At 43.7% G+C, this 17,091-nt stretch overlaps 1 protein-coding gene across 3 annotated transcripts in view, besides 1 other annotated feature; it reads right to left on the minus strand.

The window, feature by feature from the left end:
* Positions 1–17,091, minus strand: part of LRP2 (LDL receptor related protein 2) — a 235,426-nt gene that overhangs the window by 194,930 nt on the left and 23,405 nt on the right. The gene's annotated exons all lie outside the window — the stretch shown is intronic.
* Positions 14,747–14,947: a silencer, noted in NCBI's record as "peak3915 fragment used in MPRA reporter construct". NCBI's record gives its function as "represses an SCP1 promoter by STARR-seq MPRAs in K562 erythroleukemia cells {active_cell/tissue: K562}" and the evidence as "EXISTENCE:reporter gene assay evidence [ECO:0000049][PMID:32103011]".

The raw sequence follows: 17,091 nt of genomic DNA on the forward strand, positions 1-17,091 counted from the left end.
TTCACAAACCCAAGGGATAAAGGAGAAATTTTTGCAGTTGGAAGAATAATTATATCTTCCCCATGTATTTAAGCAATCATGCTAAATTACCCATTTCAATTTTTGGCTAATTAACCAAAATTAGGTAAATATACAGATCAAGTACCTACTCCTAAAATAAATAAGCAATGTGCTATCCTGATTTGTGTAAATGCAGGCATATCAACAGCATGACATAAACATAGTTAAGTGATCTATTTCTAGGGTATATAGGCTACTTTGTTCATGGAATGTTCAAATCTGATTGTCTGGTAGTGACATCCTGATTTATAATGTATGCTGCAAATGGTCAGAAACTTCGCTTGGCTAAATGGTGGTACCGAGTGGTACAGGAGTACGTACACCCAAATACCTTCTATAGACTAATGCATGATGGTGGTTGGTGGTGCAGGTCTGGGGTTGGTGGTGCAGGTCTCTTATCAACTACCTTTAAAACACAACAACCTCCCTTGCAAAAATGCCCCTAAGGAATGTACAAATTCACTCTGGAATCCCAGAACTTCTCATTGGATTTTGTTCTACAAAGCAATATTTCCATGGGAGATTAGGGGCTTTGGAGGTTTAGCTATTAACACAACATATATTAAATCACTTTTATCAATTAGGTCTATTGTTAGTAATCCAACATAATACATTTGTAAGTTCAGTACATTTGTCTCCCTTAGTATCTGAGGTTGTAAAGGTAGTATCTTCTGGTTGAAAAATTATAACAATCATAAAGAACAGTCCTCTTACAGACAGTTTCATATTGCTATGGAGAAAAGAAAAATATAAATTTAGAGACTGAGTATTTAGGAGGAAATTATCAGAACAATATATATTGCCTGTTTTGAAAATATATATAATTAATGCTATTTCTTAAGCAACTTTTATTACAAGTCCCATTTTTGAGGAGTGGGGTGGGGGGATTTGTTTGTTTTTGCCAAACTAAAATACCAAGTTAAACACATCATGAAAAGAACACAAAATAGAGACTCAAAAGTCATTTTATAAAACACTTCAAAGTCAATTATTTAAAATCACACATATGAAAAATGAAACTGATGGGGAAATGTTGCAATTAACTAATTTTTATAGGTAGTGATTTTCACACTTGATCTCCTCACTCCATTATCTAATATATCAAATCCAATTTACTCAATTTATCAACAGATCTATAATTCATTTGTCAAATTCACCTTTTCAGTAGTAACTTCGATGCCTGTTTATAACTCCCAAACGACTATTGTTTGGAAATATCTCTCCAGAAAAAACAAACTGATACTTTATCATTGCTGGGTGACCTCTCAGCCATCAGCCAAAATGCTTCACTGGCCTCAGAAGCTCATTCTCTCATAAAGGGAATATGTGTTGTTTAAAAATAAACCAAAAATAAACCACTAGTGAAAAGGTCTAGATTAGGTCTAATAACAATTGCAGGTGCCCCTTACTTCAATTAGTCTATATGCAATTTATTTTGAGTGTTTTGTTTTAAATAAGTAGCCTTTACTCACAAGCCCTCCAAAAGTTTTATCTAGATATTATCTACATTTTGTTATTTATTTGAAGATTTAAAAAAAAAAAAAGCTAAGGGGATGATTTCATACATTGGAGCCACCCACAGGGAGAAAAAAAAAATCTACATAGAACCAGCTTTAAAACTTTGTTCAGAAAATAGTCTCAAAACTGCCACATTCAACCAATCCAGTTTTAGCCAAGAAGTAATCTTGCAAATAATCATTTATGTAACTTTAAAACATTCTCCAGGAGCCTCTCTGGTTTGGGGGCTGCCTGATTAAAAAAAAAAAAAAATCCCTCTAGTAAAAACCAAGGAGGAAAGGAGGAAAATACAATCCACATTGAAATAAAAACCTTTTGTTAAGAACCAGGCAATCATCACAAAGGAACCATCGGAACCAAATGAACACCCTATCTCTCCAGCACTAGCCCCTGTCTGTCCCATCAATCAGAATAGATGGTGCAAAGATGAAAAGAAGTACTCATATAGCACTTAAATGGCACACACCATTCTAAGTGCTCTGCCAACATTAGCTCATTTAATCCTCATAATAACCCTATGAAATAGATACTGTTATTATGAATATTTTACAAATAAATAAATTGAAGCACAGAGCAATTCGGTAACTTGCCCAAGATCCAACAGCAAATATGTGCAAAGCAAGGATTTGAATCTGACAGCTCTGATTCCAGCATTCGTGCTACTTGACCACTACTCTATGTTCCCTTTCACCAAAAAAAAAAGTTTATTCCACTAAACTCAAGAATGAATGTAAAAATCTGATTTTTTTCCCCCAAAGCTGCTCTCAATTAACATTAATTGAGTTCATTATTGGGCTGGCATAGAATCCATAGTGCTTATATACTTCAGTTGGAGAAAAAGAGTAGTTTACTTGGTGACTAACATAGCATTAAAAAATTATTGGGCTTAGGAAAAATTGCAGCAATTGAAAGCAATGCAAAAAAAATTTAAGCGTTTTGAAATCGGTAGTAAAATTTTATTAGACATAGGAATAAACTTGTTTTCCAACCTCATAAAGAGCCCAAAGCTAGGGGAAAAAAAAAAAAAAAGAGTAATCCTTTCTTCATAAGTAGCCATATCCCAAGCTTCCTGGGTAAGTGTTGGACTAAGAATGTGTTAAGATAAGATATTAGAGTAACAGATAGCGCCCAGAGAAGAGGAGTCATTTGCCTGTTTGTTTTCCACAGCAAGGAACAACACTGGATTGAGAGCATTCCTCTGTGTCATTTACAGCCTCTGGCACAGCACCGGGTGCTTATGGAATAGCTAATGCATGTTCGTCAGGAAGTGTAGAATTCTCTTTGTAAAACTCAGCCTGCTGAGACCATTATATATCAGAGATATAGAAAGCTATCAGAGCAAACAATGAGACTTTAAATAGAAATTTACCATCTTAAATCCATAGAAAGAAAAATGGAATCTGGAATAATCTGAAAAAAGGGGAATATCTAGAAGTTTTTTTCAAAAAAAAAAAAAAAGAAAGAAAAAAACATTGAGTCATATTAATAGCAGTTTCATTCTTTTACCCGTTCCTTGTAAGTTTCTTTCTCCTTCCATAAATTCTATTCTTATAAGACAAAGACAAGTGGTAGTCAATGGAACATTGTCCAAAGTTAACAGAGTAAGGTAATTTCTGTGGCAAATCCTATTTCCCCGCTAGATCCTCTTAACACATGCTGGTCCTTCCAAACACTTGGTCTACCTGAGGAGGTACAGTCCTCTTTTTAAAAATTTGTATGAGTAAATCACATTTTAATAGTTCCACCTTCACTGAACTCAAAGAAACAAACAAATTTAAGAGGCAATTCCTTAACTTATCCATAATTTTTGCTTCACTTTTTCTATACTTAATTTTGATTCCTTTGGTATGGATAGACATCCTTCTGATATTCATAAGTTGGCTGACAGTTCACTACAATTCCCATACCTTGCCCACATAAACAAGGCCAGTCCCCTTTTGAAGATTTAGAGTCACCTGCTTATTTCCAAAACTTTACACTATAGTGATGATAGCCAAGGGTAACAAATTGTATGGAGCACTCTACCCTGTCTAGTGTCAAATTGATAGAATAGTCAAGGATTCAGTTAATGAAACTGAAACAAGACAGGAACAGCAAACCAACCTGCTAGTCTCTTTCTGTGCAACATTTTAACTGTCTGGTTTTCCTTACAGATCATCAAATAGGTGGCAGGAATTCTTTTGGGTTTTTTTTTTAATCCAGTTTACAAACCACTGAATAGACTGCTTTGTCCCAATTATTGATTCAGAGCCCTGATGTTTTCTTAGAGCAAAACAATACTATAAGGACATTTCAAGAAGTCAAAGATTTGGGGACAAAACCCACAATGCAAATTGATGCATTATCATGTAGACACATCATTTAAGTGCAAAAATAAATGAATAAATAAATAAGGACCAAAAGAATATGATGCCAGATTCACTAAAGCCACAAATAAATTCATAACTACTATATGCAATTGTCCTAGGATCAGTGGAAGAAAAAAGAAAAATAAGATATGGTCCTTTTTTGCTCTGCCTCTCCCTCTCCCTCTCCCTCTCCCTCTCCCTCTCCCTCCCCCTCTCCCCTCTCCCCTCTCCCCTCTCCCCTCTCCCCTCTCCCTCTCGGTCTCCCTCTCCCTCTCTTTCCACGGTCTCCCTCTGATGCCGAGCCGAAGCTGGACTGTACTGCTGCCATCTCGGCTCACTGCAACCTCCCTGCCTGATTCTCCTGCCTCAGCCTGCCGAGTGCCTGCGATTGCAGGCGCGCGCCACCACGCCTGACTGGTTTTCGTACTTTTTTGGTGGAGACGGGGTTTCACTGTGTTGGCCGGGCTGGTCTCCAGCTCCTAACCGCGAGTGATCCGCCAGCCTTGGCCTCCCGAGGTGCCGGGATTGCAGACGGAGTCTGGTTCACTCAGTGCTCAATGGTGCCCAGGCTGGAGTACAGTGGCGTGATCTCAGCTCGCTACAACCTCCATCTCCCAGCCGCCTGCCTTGGCCTCCCAAAGTGCCGAGATTGCAGCCTCTGCCCGGCCACCACCCCGTCTGGGAAGTGAGGAGCGTCTCTGCCTGGCCGCCCATCGTCTGGGACGTGAGGAGCCCCTCTGCCTGGCTGCCCAGTCTGGAAAGTGAGGAGCGTCTCTGCCCGGCCGCCATCCCATCTAGGAAGTGAGGAGCGCCTCTTCCCGGCAGCCATCCCATCTGGGAAGTGAGGAGCGTCTCTGCCCGGCCGCCCATCGTCTGAGATGTGGGGAGCGCCTCTGCCCCGCCGCCCCGTCTGGGATGTGAGGAGTGCCTCTGCCCGGCGGCGACCCCGTCTGGGAGGTGAGGAGCGTCTCTGCCCAGCCGCCCCGTCTGAGAAGTGAGGAGACCCTCCACCCAGCATCCGCCCCATCTGAGAAGTGAGGAGCCCCTCCGCCCGGCAGCCACCCCGTCTGGGAAGTGAGGAGCGTCTCCGCCCGGCAGCCGCCCAGTCCGGGAGGGAGGTGGGGGGGTCAGCCCCCCGCCCGGCCAGCCGCCCCATCCGGGAGGGAGGTGGGGGGGTCAGCCCCCCGCCCGGCCAGCCGCCCCGTCCAGGAGGGAGGTGGGGGGGTCAGCCCCCCGCCTGGCCAGCCGCCCCATCCGGGAGGGAGGTGGGGGGGTCAGCCCCACGTCCGGGAGGGAGGTGGGGGGGTCAGCCCCCCGCCCGGCCAGCCGCCCCGTCTGGGAGGGAGGTGGGGTCAGCCCCCCGCCCGGCCAGCCGCCCCATCCGGGAGGTGAGGGGCGCCTCTGCCCAGCCGCCCCTACTGGGAAGTGAGGAGCCCCTCTGCCGGGCCAGCCACCCCGTCCGGGAGGGAGGTGGGGGGATCAGCACCCCGCCCGGCCAGCCGCCCCGTCTGGGAGGGAGGTGGGGGGGTCAGCCCCCCGCCCGGCCAGCCGCCCCGTCCGGGAGGGAGGTGGGGTCAGCCCCCCGCCCGGCCAGCCGCCCCATCCGGGAGGTGAGGGGCGCCTCTGCCCAGCTGCCCCTACTGGGAAGTGAGGAGCCCCTCTGCCGGGCCAGCCACCCCGTCCGGGAGGGAGGTGGGGGGCTCAGCCCCCTCCCGGCCAGCCGACCCATCCGGGAGGGAGGTGGGGGGATCAGCACCCCGCCCGGCCAGCCGCCCCGTCCGGGAGGGAGGTGGGGGGGTCAGCCCCCCGCCCGGCCAGCCGCCCCGTCTGGGAGGTGAGGGGCGCCTCTGCCCGGCCGCCCCTACTGGGAAGTGAGGAGCCCCTCTGCCCAGCCAGCCGCCCCGTCCGGGAAGGGAGGTGGGGGGGTCAGCCCCCCGCCCGGCCAGCCGCCCCGTCCAGGAGGGAGGTGGGGGCGTCAGCCCCCCGCCCGGCCAGCCGCCCCGTCCGGGAGGGAGGTGGGGGGGTTAGCCCCACGTCCGGGAGGGAGGTGGGGGGGGGTCAGCCCCCTGCCCGGCCAGCCGCCCCGTCCGGGAGGGAGGTGGGGTCAGCCCCCCGCCCAGCCAGCCGCCCTGTCCAGGAGGTGAGGGGCGCCTCTGCCCAGCCGCCCCTACTGGGAAGTGAGGAGCCCCTCTGCCGGGCCAGCCGCCCCGTCCGGGAGGGAGGTGGGGGGGTCAGCGCCCCGCCCGGCCAGCCGCCCCGTCCGGGAGGGAGGTGGGGGGGTCAGCGCCCCGCCCGGCCAGCCGCCCCGTCCGGGAGGGAGGTGGGGGGGTCAGCCCCCCGCCCGGCCAGACGCCCCGTCCGGGAGGTGAGGGGCGCCTCTGCCCGGCCACCCCTACTAGGAAGTGAGGAGCCCCTCTGCCCAGCCACCACCTCGTCTGGGAGGTGTACCCAACAGCTCATTGAGAACGGGCCGGGATAAAAAAAAAAAAAAAAAAAAAAAGAAAAAAAAAGAAATAAATAAATAAATAAATAAAAAGATATGGTCCTTTTTTGACAGAGCCTATAAGTTTATTGGGGGCAAAAGTGATTTATATGTTATAAATTAAATATCCATGCAATAACAACAGCTGATATTGTTTACTGAGTACCTACTATGTGTTATACAATATATAAAGCTTTATACATATCCACTGGATCCTCTCAGAACTGTATGATGTGAGATTTATACTTATTTAATAGAAGGGGAACCTGAGCCTCAGTGACATTAACCAACTCCCCCAAGGGCCACAAAGGTAGAAAATGTCGAAGTCTGATTTAGCCCCAGGACCTGTGTGACTCCAGAGCCTGTACTTATTTCATCATTTCATGTCCTGCAAAGCAAATGACAGCATTTGTTCACCCAGAACTTGCCAGCAATATTTTAAGTGCTTCCCATGCATTACCTTACATATCCTCACAACAGCTTTGTGAGATGGTATCAATGGCCCCATTTCATAGATGAGGACGACAAGGCTTGAACAAATCTCACAGCTAGTAGGTAGTGGAGCACAGATTTACACTGAGGCAGTCTGATTCCAAAGCTATGCCTCTGACAACAGACAATTTGGTTCCAAATAAGCAATGGAGATAATAAAAACTAACTGACTTTGGCGAAAAAAATAACACTACAGGCCGGTGTCATCAGAGAAGTCTTCACAAAGAATTATAAGACTACACTGGGTCTTTGTGAATGAGCAGGATTTGGGAAGGTGAAGAGGGAGACCAGGCTTTGTGTGTAGGGTCAAAACAACTTGACAGGCCAGGCGTGATCACTCACGCCTGTAATCCCAGCACTTTGGGAGGCCATGCCAGGCAGATCACTTGAGGCCAGGAGTTCAAGACCAGCCTGGCCAACATGGTGAAACCTGTCTCTAAGAAAAAAAAGAACAAAAACTTGACAGAAGCTTAGCATGGGTGAGGGTCTAATAAGTATGACCCAAGCAGTGATGACCTCTTGGAGAGTGGTAGGCAACAAGGCTGAGAAGATGGAGAAAAAGAGCTTTCAGTGCCAAGCCAAAGAGTGCCTGTCAAATGAGTATGAGGGTGATTACTCAGACAATAACTGCATTAAAAGTGAAGATCACTCTGAGTAGGTAAAGCCTGAACTAGCATACAGACTTTGACCATGAAAAGAGCTTGGAGCTCCACTTCAATCCCCAGAACCTCACCCCAACCCTGAGCCCAGTGAGCAGGCTGGTAGGTGCAGGCAAGAGGCTGCTAGCAGAGAAGGGTCTCACCTTGCAGCCCCTCCAGCTGCCCCAGAAGCATCCAAAGCAGGTCCGCTTGCATGGCAAACTACGAACAGGTTCCATGAGGGAGGGGTCCCCAGTCCCTGGGCTACAAACTGGTACTGGTCCGTGGCCTGCTAGGAACCAGGCTACACAGCAGCAGGTGAGAGGCGGGTGAGTGAGCATTAGTGCCTGAGCTCCGCCTCCTGTCAGATGAGTGGCTGCATTAGATTCCCATAGGAGCACAAACCCTGTTGTAAACTGCACATGAGAGGGATCTAGGTTGTGCATTCCTTATGAGAATCTAATGCCTGATAATCTGAGGTGAAACAGTGTCATCCCGAAACCATCCCTCCCCCACCACCACCCTGCTGTCCATGGAAAAATTGTCTTCCACGAAACCAGTCCCTGGTGCCAAAAAGCTTGGGGACCGCTGCCTTAGGGCATTGCCAACAACATCCTAGTGACCAGCCCCCACCATCCTCTCCAAGCTGGATGTTTCTGAGTATCCAGGCCACAGAATCCAGTCAGCTCTCAAGATAGTTGATCTCAAAGATTACTTAAATATTTGCTTAGTAATTAAAATAAAGTGCCTTTCCAATAACCAAATGGCAGCAGAATGAGATGTACTACTTGAGCAGCCTCTCAATTCTGAGCAATGAGAGATTTAAACTGAGCCATTTATAACTGAGCTACCCTTCTCCATTTCCATTTAAACACTAGTCACCTGTCTTTCTCCCCCAAGGCTCTTACATCCCACTTGTTTTTTCATTATGCACCTCTCACCTCTACAATCAGGCAGTCCATCAGCACTACAGAACATTATAAGCAAAGCCACACTTCTCAGAGGTTCTTCAGAGGACGCTATCGCCATTTGGGGTGGGACAATTACTCATCTTGCAGAACTGTCCTGGTCAAAGCAGTATGTACATCATCCCTGACCCCCACCTGTGGAACACCAGTAGTGCTCCCCCACATCACGGTGACAAAAACACTCCCAGGCACATCTATGCCGCTTGAGAGTGGCAGTACCACCCCCAGTGGAGAACAACTCAGAACCTCTAAGCAGCTTGGACAGTCAGAGCTCAAAATTATCTTAGCCCACATGAAAGAGATCATCTAAAAAAAAAAAACATAATACATTCTTCCCTTCTAAAGATAATAAAATTTCTTAAACAGCAATCCCACTCCTTCCCACCCATCAATAAGAGCACCTAGGATTGGGCAATCTCACGCTGCAGCTGCTAGTACCAGCAACTTGAAATGAACTCCCCTGGGAGAGTGATAAAGAATCTAATTTCCAGGAAGGCCTGTTTCACCCTGGAATGCTCCATTCCATCACACGTCCACAGGTCTACCCCTTCAAGGGGAGGGGACCACACTAGAAAAACACAAGCATCTGAAATCCTCAAGTAGTTCATCATTAATGTAAAGGATTGTGGCTATGAAAAACAGTCATAAGCACCTCTGCGTTGTGGTGCAAACTTTTCCCGTCCGTATTCATTATCAGAGCAAAAAAATAATTTCTCCAAATGTCCTCTCCCCATCCCAACTGCATACATTCACAAAAAATTAAAAATATAAATTGACAATCACTTAAGCGCTCAAACATTCAAAAGAATGTCCAAGTTTTTACCAAGAACGCTGAGCAATGAAAACTTCCTGTTAGCCAGCATCAAAGCACTGAAAGTGTATTTGTACCAGTCTTTTCTGTGCTCCCCCTGAATAGCTCATGCAGTGCCTCCTCTATCAGCTAAGTCACTGAGGTTCCTGGAGAGGAACCTTCCCTACACGTGGAAGGAAACTAAGCTCAAGACTTTCTTCTCCTCTGGCCCCAATCCCCACTAGAGACTAACTGGTTATTTACATCTTTCATGGTAAAAGAGCTACACTTACAGGATGTTGAAAAGAACACTATCCAAACAGAAGAAAATTTAAGATGGCCTGCCTGCCCAGGTAAATAAGGACCCAATGAATCAAACTACTTACAAGAATAACATGCCCTTCAGCACCTCATGATTTGACACACCCTGTGCAAAAACTACAAATCATTCCCATTTCAGAGCACATTTCCAGTCCCAGTCACCCAGAGAATTCCTATACGGCTTTTTGATTAGCAATATAAATTACTGGAAAATGGTTGAGTGGAATCAAACACTAAAAAAGAAAATGGACATTCATGAGAAATAAATGACAAGAGAGACTTTAGAAAGGCAGCTTTCTTGCTTAAGGCTTTTGAATGGTGTTTCAGACTAGCATTGATAGACAGCATCAAATTAGGGTTTTCCTGATTAATTAGGTCCAAGTGTTGAACCATAAATCAAACTGACATGGATATGTTAAAGCTATAAACATCACTTTCATTTTGGTCATCTTAATAATCAGATGAGATCACCAGGTTATCAAGTGAACAATAGTTGGATACTGCAAATTATGACAATAGCAACAAGAAGAGAAGAAATTGACTCTCAATTGGTAGATTTGGTAATTCCCCATAGTCATAGGCTAAATTATTTATAACTACTAAATGGACCTTCTTGACTGAATCTTATAAACACCTTGCTGTATTCCTTCTCCCTAACTCCATATTATTTAGTTCTTGACTATCGCAATAGTAACAACAAGCTCTAAAGAAACGAGAAGAGAGAGAAGAGGCAAAAATAGGGAGAAAAAGAAAAAGGGAGACAGAGAAAAAGAGGGCAGAAAGGAGAGATGTCAAGGTTAGCAATCAGTGTCCAGACACTAAATTTCATGAGACCTAGCATCTTGCATCCTAGCCTTGGTTTAAATGACACCTGGCATCTTGCACCTTAACCTCAATTTGGTACAAAATGGCAACTCACCCTTATTTAGCTATGGCCCAAATTCAGATTGAAGCAGTATGTAATTGCTAAGTGGGTTTATAAGTCACAAGTTACATGCTAGGAACTAAATAACCTCCCATTCTAAATGTGTAAATTTTCAGAAAGTAGAGATCAGGTATATACATATATATATACACACACATACGTACATGCACATACACATATATATACATAATTTACTCTAACGAAACCAATGCTTCAACATCAATAAGCAACTCTGATGACAACTCTTATCAGAAATGTTTATGCTTGGTGATGGTGAGGCTCATTGCATTGTTATTCACACAAACACTAAACTTTATTCACAGTTCATTCGTTAGATGAATAACTGAGTTGCACACACAGGCATGCCTCGACCTTGACCATTTAGTGATGGGCATGTATGGCTTCTGCCAACAGAGTAAGAATTTTCTTAAACTATTAAGAAATATTGTGCAGCAAGAGTGCCAAAAGATTTCCAACAATAAGTTTAAAAGCCTTTTCTTGGGCAGTAAGTACTGATAATTAATCATCTAGTAAACTGAAGTCAACATTTTTAATAAAAATGTAATATGTCATTCTCTTTTTTAAAAACTGGTTTTGCTGATGTTTTACACAATATTTTTGTATTTTTCCCCTTTAGTGACAAGTTATGCCTTGGAAATGATTTTATAAGCAGAAAGTTCAAAATTCTCCTGCCACGACCTGGATATGTGAAATATAAGGAACAGAACAGATGAGACTAAGCGACCTCTGTATTCCCAGGGCCTGTTACAGGACCTCCTAGTACCCAGCCTACCCTCAATAAACGAACTATATATGATGTGTTAGAATATATGTGTGAAACTAAGATGATGTCCAAAAGATGACAAAGAGATCTACAAGGAAGGAAGGAGGGAAGGAAGAAAAGGAAGGAAGGAAGGAACGAAGGAAGGAAGGAAGGGAGGGAGGGAGGGAGGGAGGGGGCTACAAGAGTACTTCTTATCCTACAATCAAAAATTGTAATTTGTTTTATAAGCAATTTGCTAATATAGCATAATCATGATTTTAATTTCCCTATAGAGAAACAAATGTAATGCCAAATCATTGCCTTGTAAATCTGTAAAGAAGGACCTATTATATTTGCAAATACTCTCATGGTAGAATGACCTTAAATTTCCTGTGTCTCCCCTACTGGATTGCTTTTAACAGACTGAGCAAAAAGAACTTCAGAACATGCCTCACCAGCAGGTTATCTTTGCACCAGGAGTCCTTTGGCCCTGGTTTGTTATGCCTGGGCTCAAATAGCATGAGGAGGTCTCCAAACCACTTTCAGGCTCTGTCAATGTTATCACTTCACGTTATAATGTGATTGTGATGACTTGAAACAATTCAATAGCTTGTTGACACAGAATCAACAATATTACATTGTCACCAACTGATACCCACGTGTGATAAAGTGGTGTTCAGGTTTCTGCACAGACATGATGAATTTATAATGTCCCCATATTAATAGCAACATGAATAAAATTACAAGTTTATCTGCAGTGATTGCCAGAAATGGAAGGAAAAAAAGCAGGGTATATTTCCTAAGATTTTGCCTAATCTGTGTTTTAAATATCATTAGTAATTACAGTAAAAACCTTTGTCACTATTATAAATATAAAATTTTAGAATTTTAATGCTAAAAAGAAGTACGGCTTCAGTAATAAACTATACCAGAAAATATATACAATAAAATCTCTACTAACTGACACACAAATAATTAAAGCCATTTGCTTACTGGAGTTTTGTTTGTATTATACTTCTTACAAAGGCAATTAAAGAAAATAAAATGATATTAGAGTGTTGGTCAAGAATAGAGTTTTCAGTGGCCATCTCAATTCTGGGTGTTGGGTACCTATAGTTACAGTCTTGGATGAGTATGAGTGAGCTAATATGCAGAACATGGATCCATAGGCATTATAATAATTAAGTAAAATTTAAATTAAATTCAGTAAGAATGGCTAAAATAAGAATACCAATGGAAAAAGCAATCGCCAGAAAGCCAAGAGATGCATGGCTTTCAACTCTGGCAAAGCACTGACTGTCCCTGTGTCATTCCAAACTCTAAGTTCCATGAGGGCAGGAACTGTTTGTGTCTCATTTACCACTGAACCTTCACTCAATAAATATTTGTTACTGAACTGGTTTAGCTTGATGAACCTGAATTTAAACTGATACAGTATGCAGTTTTCTTACCTACAAAATTTCTGACCTGCAAAATCAGGTTACGGTGAGGATTAAAGAGGTCCCTGTAAACCTCTGGCACAATGCCTGAAGCACAGCCGTCCCTCCATGAAGGGTGGTTCCTTCCAGGGCATTCCCACTACTCATCTAATTCTAACATTCTAAGAGTTGTTCCCCTACTATCTGACTGAGAGAAAACTTTCAAAATCTAAGCCACCTTGCTTGGTAGGATGCTCAACACTGAAAGCACAGATGGTGGTGGTTGCCTCCACTGGCCCAGTCTTCGGTCAAGGGCAAGAGTGAAAATCAAGATTTATTCTGAGAAACACAGGTCAAACTAGAGTCAAAAGCAAGCTTGCTCCCAACTTGCTATTTTCTTGTTTATGCATTTTTATGTTTATTTTCTTGTTTATATATTTTTGTATTTTCCTACGATGAGCATTTTTATTATTTTGTCCATTGTAAATCATTCATATTTCAGGTGATCCTCTGGAGTTTTACATGAAATACTGTAGGTGTATAATTCCATCACCAAAAAGAAATTGATGATAAACATACAGGCTTTCCCAGAATTGACCTTAAGTCATTATACTGTACATTAAACTTGGACATCGTTATCTTTCTATCATCATAAAAGGATTTCTGTTGACCTCAACTCATGCCTTGGCATAAGCCATAGAATTAAGGACATAAAGAAATTGAGGATTAATCAACTGAAACCAAGCTAAAAAGTTTTCCATTCAAAAAGTTTGGCCAGCACAGTAGCCCATGCCTGTAACCCCAGCACTTTGGGAGGCCATAGCAGGAGGATCTCTTAAGCTCAGGAGTCTGTAATCAGCATAGACAGCAGAGAGAAATTCTGTCTCAATAGAAGAAAAAAAAAGGAAGTTCAGCGATTCTCCAGGACCCACGTTTAAAAGAATTTCAAATTTTTCCTAAAAGCATGAAAGGCCAGGTGTGGTGGATTACTCCCGTAATCCCAGCACTTTGGGAGGCCAAGGTGGGTGGATCACTTGAAGTCAGGAGTTCAAGACCAGCCTGGCCAGCATGGCAAAACCCCATCCCTACTAAAAATACAAAAAATTAGCCAGGCATGGTGGCATGCACCTGTAGTCCCAGCTACTTGGGAGGCTGAGCTGGGAGAATCTCCTGAACCCAGGAGGCAGAAGTTGCAGTGAGCCAAGATAGTGCCATTGCACTCCAGCCTGGGTGACTAAGTGAGACTTCATCTCAAAAAAAAAAAAAAAACAAGCATTAAAAGTATTCACTATCCTAATTCTCTAAACTTTCTCTTATATAACAGAAGAATGCAATAAATGCAAAAATATTATTTGACTAAAATAACATACAATAATGCCTTTCTAATTCATTCAAAGAAAAACTTTATTATCTTAAGTTGTTACCCTATTTCTGTTTGAATGAGAATAGATTTCCATAAACCTAGACATCCAGCCCCTGCAAACGAAGGAATGAGGCCAGGCGCAGTGGCTCATGCCTGTAATCCCAGCACTTTGGGAGGCTGAGGCAGTTGGATCACTGGAGGTCAGGAGTTCAACACCAGCCTGGGCAACATGGTGAAACCCCATCTGTACTGAAAATACAAAAAAATTAGCCAGGCGCGGTGGCATGCACCTGTAATCCCAGCTACTCAGGAGGCTGAGGCAGGAGAATCACTTGAAACCAGGAGGCAGAGGCTGCAGTGAGCTGAGATTGGACTACTACACCCCAGCCTGGGTGACAGAGCAAGACTCCATCACACACACACACACACACACACACACACGCACAGAGGAATGAAATACCCCATTGCCATGACCCCACTCCTATTCTTTTCCAGTAATGAAACAGAGAGACCTTACCACCCTCCAAAGTATTCTCCACTGCACAGAGCAAACACTCCAAACTAAATGCAACGCAACAAACAGGTACTGAAGCTCTGGTAGACCATTTATCTTTGTATTCTTAAGGCAGAATAACACTTGTCAGGAAACAAGCCCTCTTGTCCACAACCGTTTGGCTATCCTCAAGCAAGCCAATAAAACTATCCCATCTCCTTCCAGAAACCAAGAAACTAAAGTCAGCCAGTTCTTCCCTGGGAAGAGTTATGTTCACTCTGTTTACTATAAGCACTCAACACTTCACAAAGTTTGGTGGGTAAGGTTACAAAGAGGGAAAAGCAACTTAAACTTAAAAGGCTGTTCTGATAGTCCAGGAATGAGACGATTAGAGCCTTATCTAGTTAAATGGTCCCACCTCCGCCTGACTTCCCCCACCGCTGTCTAAAAATCCTCTCCTTCTCTCTCCCTCAGATCCCCATGACATGGCCAGAGTTTCCATGGCTCACGACCCTGACCCCAAAAATCTGCTCCCAGGTGAACTTATTCACGGGAAGGTTTGAGAGATTCTTAAAGCCTTCTACGGGTGTTTGCACTTTCAGCAGAAAACAGAAGCCCTCCAAGGAATGAATTTTCTAATTGTGGCATTTTAGGCATTCCTAATGCCTACATACCTTCCTCACTGGCTTGATGGAGCAGATTGTAGGGGAACAGAGTATCTTATCAGGGCTCCTAACATCGTACCACATAGGTTGTGGTACCATGTATAAGGCCATCTTTGCTAATGCCAGAAACCTCATCAGCAGTGAGATAGCATTTTTCCATAAAAGCACAGGCCAGCCCAAATACAGTCAAAGGGCTTTTCAGGAGAATTTGGTGACATCTCTGGATCAGTGCAATGTATTTTAGATTAATCTGGACTGAAGAAAAAGGCCCTAAGGAAATATTGCAAAAACAATGACTCCAAAGGCCTCAAGAGAATCCATTAACACGTGAACATGATTAATGAAACACTCATGTGGGTTCTGTTTAAACTGAAAGCCCTTATTCTACTATTTGTAACTCAAAGAACTCCTTCCACTGGAAACAAAAGATTCATCCATTCCACCCAAAGTGGAATATATGTGTATGCATGCATGTACATCTACATATATGCACACAAGACAGCCCAATATTACCAGGCTTACTGATCAAGAAACAGACTTGAGGCCAGGTAAGGTAGCTCACGCCTATAATCCCAACACTTTGGGAGGCTGAGGCAGGAGGATCGCTTGAGCCCAGGAGTTTGAGACCACCCTGGGCAACATAGTGAGAGCCAGTATCTACAAAAACAAAACAAATTAACCAGGTGTGATGGTGCACACCTGTAGTCCTAGCTATTCAGGAGGCTGAGGTGGGAGGATCGCTTGCGCCCGGGAGTTTGAAGCTACAGTGAGCTATGATCATGCCACTGCACTGCACTCCAGCCTGACTGACAGAGCAAACCCAGAGCAAAAGAAAGAGAAAAAGAAATGGGGGGAAGTAGGGAAGGAGGAAGAGAGGGAGTAGGGGAGGAGAGGAAAGAAAGAAAGAGAGAAAGAAAAGAAAGAAAAGAAAGGAAGAAGGAAGGAAGGAGGGAAGGGAAGGGAAGGGAGAAAGAAAAACAAAGAAAGAAAGAGAAAGAAAGAAAGAAAAAAGGAAGGAAGAAAGAAAGAAAGATAGAATGTAAGAGAGACAGAGAAAGAAAGAAGGAAAGAAAGAAGGAAAGAAAGAAAGAAAGAAAGAAAGAAAGAAAGAAAGAAAGAAAGAAAGAAAAGAAAAGAAAAGAAAAAAGGAGGAAGACGGAGGGAGGAAAGGAAGGAAGGAAGGAAGGAAAAAGACAAGACAAGACAATATGCATTCCAGAAGGCATGCTTTATAGAGTGCTCATTTGGCCATGTGTTTGTTTACCATCACTGGATTAACTCAAGAAGTTTCAATAAATTTGTCCACCTATTGATTCAACTACTGTTACATATGAAATCATTATTTCTCCAAGTATAACAGTCTGTATTTTCCTTCTTCCATTCTGCCCAGCATGTCTAAAAGTCAACAGCTTTTCCACAGAAGGTTAAGAGACAAAGTCTGAATAGCCAGATGCTGCATACTACTGGGAAACTACTATAATATTACAGAAGGGCAAGGAAGGGGAAGAGCACGCGAAGACTGCTTAGAAGCCAAGTAACTGTCCAGGGTGAAGTCCTTCTAGTCATATACTAGGGATTCAAACCACTGCTCCACCTCTTACTAACTATCTGACAGCCATTTTAATTTCTGTGCCTCAGTTTCCTCATCTAAAAACGGAGATAATAAGAGCTCTTACTCATAACATTAATATGAGGGTAGAGTGAGGATTATGGGTCTGGCATATCAGTAAGTGTTTAATAAAAATTGATTACTGATACTATTTTTAGGCCAGTGTTTTCTGATCCTTTAAACTCCAAATATTGTCTCCCTCTCAATTCTACAGGGTTTTTTTTTTGCTTCTTATATA

Source organism: Homo sapiens, chromosome 2, assembly GCF_000001405.40.
Source record: "Homo sapiens chromosome 2, GRCh38.p14 Primary Assembly".
In the NCBI taxonomy this organism is placed as follows: Eukaryota; Metazoa; Chordata; class Mammalia; order Primates; family Hominidae; genus Homo; species Homo sapiens.